This window comes from Homo sapiens, chromosome 4 (genome assembly GCF_000001405.40).
Source record: "Homo sapiens chromosome 4, GRCh38.p14 Primary Assembly".
Lineage (NCBI taxonomy): Eukaryota > Metazoa > Chordata > Mammalia > Primates > Hominidae > Homo > Homo sapiens.
The window spans coordinates 178,771,755-178,773,575 of record NC_000004.12 but is presented as its reverse complement, the minus strand read 5'-3'; positions in this window follow the sequence as shown (position 1 = coordinate 178,773,575).

Below are 1,821 nucleotides of genomic sequence, written 5' to 3'. Positions count from 1 at the left end.
ATCCAGGCTAACTTTTTCTCCTTAATAAGATAGAGAGTGCAGCTATGGTATTAAAATTATTTACCTTCTTCATAAACATGATTGCCTTTATGTAATACTCAACTCATAACCTTACCAAAAGAATGTAATTATGCTTCATAAATTTATTTTTTATAGCAAGCCCCTTAGTGTTTATTCTTTCAGGACTGTAAGTTGTATGACAGTATACTGTGGGTCCCTTGTAAACTACTAGATAAAGTTGTTTGTAAGGTGAGGCTGCTGCCAGATTTTCCCCGTTAAAAATAACATCTTGATAATAAGGTATTATTCTTCCCTTTCGTAATTAGTCAATACTTTCATCAAATTCTAAATTCAAATCTAAAGTATAAATATTTATCCTAATACCATCAGGTAAAGGGTAACCTCAATTGAGCAATTTGTATTTCAAAAAATCCATGGAATATATTTCTTAATCTGAACATTTACCAGTGAGCATGCCTTTTTAAAATTGCTGAGGTAAATCAACATTTTAGAGAACTCAACAATTGTGATAATATTGTATTTGAATTAACATTGCGACTTACATTCTTCTAGTTAAATCAATCTTGTAAAATTAGTATTTTGTCAGTTTAACATCAGTCTATGTGTGTCTAAGGCCAAGCTGGGTCAAAATCATGAGGAAATATATTCAAAATAATATAGGCAAATTTTGATTAAGGTATTCTAGTTTCACTATTTTTTTTCCTTATTGCACTATTATATTAGTTTATATAAACTAAACAGGCATGGCATATTCATAGATATATTAGCAAACCACCTGCTTTTATATGCAGTAGTGTCATAAAATATGCCCAACATATTTAAAGTCTCTTTTCTCCAGGTCATCCACACTATTTCTAGGGCCGCTCTAGAAGCTAAAATAATAAATTATGCCACCAATAAAAAACTCAATGAATATCTACAAACACAGAATCAGATCACATCCAATTTCCTTAAAAAATTTAAGGTTTTTTAAGTGCAAACTTAAATGGAAACCAAAAATTCTTTTTTAGGTTTAAACAAGAAGTTGGTTAAGTGTTTAGCTATAATTATTGAGGGGAAAACTATGGGTGTAACTTGCAAAAATGTTTATGTTAAAAAATATAGAAAAAAGGACAAATTTTTTTTTTTACTTTTAATTATGGAATCAGAAGAATAAGAAGTAAAAACATTTCAAGTAAAGAGGAAAAAGTCTCACTGCACAGTAGATTTCTGTTATCTTTCTTACAATAAGAACAAATATGTAACTAAATTATAATTAAAAGCATGCTACCAAAATTGATATAAATTAGTTCAGGTTTTCAGAAAACATCATATGAAATGTTTTTGTTTGCATTGCATATATTCTACTTATTAATAGAATTTAGGGAAAAAAATTTAAAGAACCATTTTAATGATCTATCCCTATATAGCAATTAATTGAAGCTACTCATCTTCAAAGGTATAAAAAAGATATTTTATTCTTCTAGTTAGCTAGAGACCAAATTAGAGTTACCCTGAGTTCATATTTCTTCTGAACCAGAGTAATGTGCTAATGCATTTCTTTTGTTAGTAGGAAAAAAAGAAGGGAAAGAAATATTCAGTTTAGCTCAGGCCCTGCCATATATTTTTCTCTAAAGCATAGCAATTAGTTTTAAAAGGAAACATAGTTTAGGTAAACTAACTTTAAGAACTCTAACAGCATCTGTAATAACAAGCGGTTGTAATAAAACAAAATTAAGCTTTAAGTTCCAGTTGGAAACAAAGAAAATTAATGTTTAAACCTTTTAAAATAATAAGATTTTAGAATTCCTGGCCAGGCAC